The sequence below is a fragment of the Homo sapiens genome, chromosome 21 (genome assembly GCF_000001405.40).
Source record: "Homo sapiens chromosome 21, GRCh38.p14 Primary Assembly".
NCBI lineage: Eukaryota > Metazoa > Chordata > Mammalia > Primates > Hominidae > Homo > Homo sapiens.
In genome coordinates this window covers 24,714,102-24,715,917 of record NC_000021.9, presented here as the reverse complement: position 1 = coordinate 24,715,917, position 1,816 = coordinate 24,714,102, and the positions used below count along the sequence as shown (strand labels likewise).

At 41.5% G+C, this 1,816-nt stretch overlaps 4 annotated features.

The window, feature by feature from the left end:
- Positions 1-490: part of a meiotic recombination region, noted in NCBI's record as "this region was identified as a recombination hotspot within the HapMap CEU population", that runs on past the window's edge. NCBI's record gives the evidence for it as "EXISTENCE:nucleotide sequencing assay evidence [ECO:0000219][PMID:18650392]".
- Positions 1-618: part of a biological region, named in NCBI's record as "meiotic recombination hotspot A", that runs on past the window's edge.
- Positions 1-618: part of a meiotic recombination region, noted in NCBI's record as "this region was identified as a recombination hotspot within the HapMap YRI population", that runs on past the window's edge. NCBI's record gives the evidence for it as "EXISTENCE:nucleotide sequencing assay evidence [ECO:0000219][PMID:20981099]".
- Positions 536-736: a silencer, noted in NCBI's record as "peak4391 fragment used in MPRA reporter construct". NCBI's record gives its function as "represses an SCP1 promoter by STARR-seq MPRAs in K562 erythroleukemia cells {active_cell/tissue: K562}" and the evidence as "EXISTENCE:reporter gene assay evidence [ECO:0000049][PMID:32103011]".

Genomic DNA, 1,816 nt, shown 5'->3' with positions numbered 1-1,816 from the left:
TTAACATTTAAAAATACAGTCCAAGCTATTCTGTCTCTCTCTCTCTCTCTTTCTCTCTCTCTCTTTTTTTTCTTTCTTTCTTTCTTTTTTTTTTTTTTTTTTTGACAGGGTCTCAGTCTCTTACCCAGGCAGGAGTGCAGTGGCACCATCAGTGGTCACTGTAATCTCTACAACCCCAGGCTCAGGTGATCCTCCCACCTCAGTTTTCCTGGTAGCTGGGACTATAAGCACAGGCCACCACACTCAGCTACTTTTGGTATTTTTTTTAGAGACATGGTTTCAACATGCTACCCAGGCTGGTCTAGAACTCCTGGACTCAAGAGATCCACCCACTTTGGCCTCCCAAAGTGCTGTGAGCTCCCAAAGAGCAGTGAGCCCCCGTGCCCAGCCCAAGCCATTCTATTTAATGCTTTCAAAAAATTTTTGCGATCCTAGGGATTAGGGAACTCAAAGTTATGAGACTCATTTAAAAATATTAACTTAAACACCGATTTGCTCAAATTTCTAATCTTAGCCTAAATTTTTTCCTCACCTTGACTACCAGTTTCCTTTCATCCTGAAACTAACTAAATCCAGCTATATTTCCTGGAGAACCACAGGCCCATACAAGTCTCCTCCTGATCTTGCTTCTCCTTCATCAGTTTAGTACCAGTCTCTACTTGTACTTTATCGTGCTAACTGCTGTCAGGTCTGGTAATTGTTATATTTGCAGTTGCTGCCCAGGCTCTCCACATCAGGGATGGCTATTGAGGTGATAAGCCCAGACTAACTTATTGGGAGAAGTGAGAGAGATCAGTTAAGAGAGAAGTGGCTGGGAGGCTGGGTTTCCTTCCAAGAAGACAGTATAAGAATGTCCAGATGTGGAACTCACATATGCTGCAACCCTGGAGACAGGCAGGGACACCCTAAGGAAGTAGTTTTCTGCACAAAATTTGACATCAGACATATTGTATTTGAATTAGTTACAAACTTAGTGTATATAAACTCTCCTCCAAAACAGCAGTCTTTATTAGATAACAAGTTTTAGGAAAAGCCAGTCCAGCCCCAATCATATCAGGAAAATGTGATGCAATATTAACCACAACACAATGTTGAATATTCCAAATTAAGAGAATGCCAAGGACTGTATTATGTTGCTAGAAACAAACAAATATATCCCCCAGAGTGTTTTGAGGAAGCCACAAGATATAACCGTTCTAAAATTATACCCAGGTTTTAATTTATAGAAGTATGACTGAGTGACAACATGAAGAGGCGAATTCCATTAAGAGAAGAACTTATTGCTTACATTTCACAAACGAAGGGTACATGTCAGACCTCACAGGGACACAAGATGGTCCAGAGACAGAAGATAAGAGTAAAAGGGAAGCCTTAGTCGGAGTCTGTATTGGGATTCCTGTGGAAAAGGCAGGACAGGACAAGGTGCATGGGTTAGGATTGGTTAGATTCAGTAATTCTGGTGGGCTTCGGGGGATAGAGGCTGTCCCTAGTTGTCTGATACCTAGGCTTGGGATGATTTAGAGCAGAAGAATATTGGCTTGGTGTGTGAGGGTGAGATAAAGAGAGTGGTTGGCTTGCATATGAAAGGCATGCTTTTACACAAGTTGCTGTATTTAACAATTAGCTAACCCTGGAAGGGGCAGTCTCTCCCTGCGTCTATAGTGGGTCTGATGTTCCCAAATGCCAGATCATAAAGAATACAGAAAATAAGAACACATAGTTAATATAATTTGCCTTGTGATGAATGGACACCAAATAGAGAAGCTGAGAAAACAAAAACAGAACAAGAACACCCCTCTAACAGATGCTCCTTTAA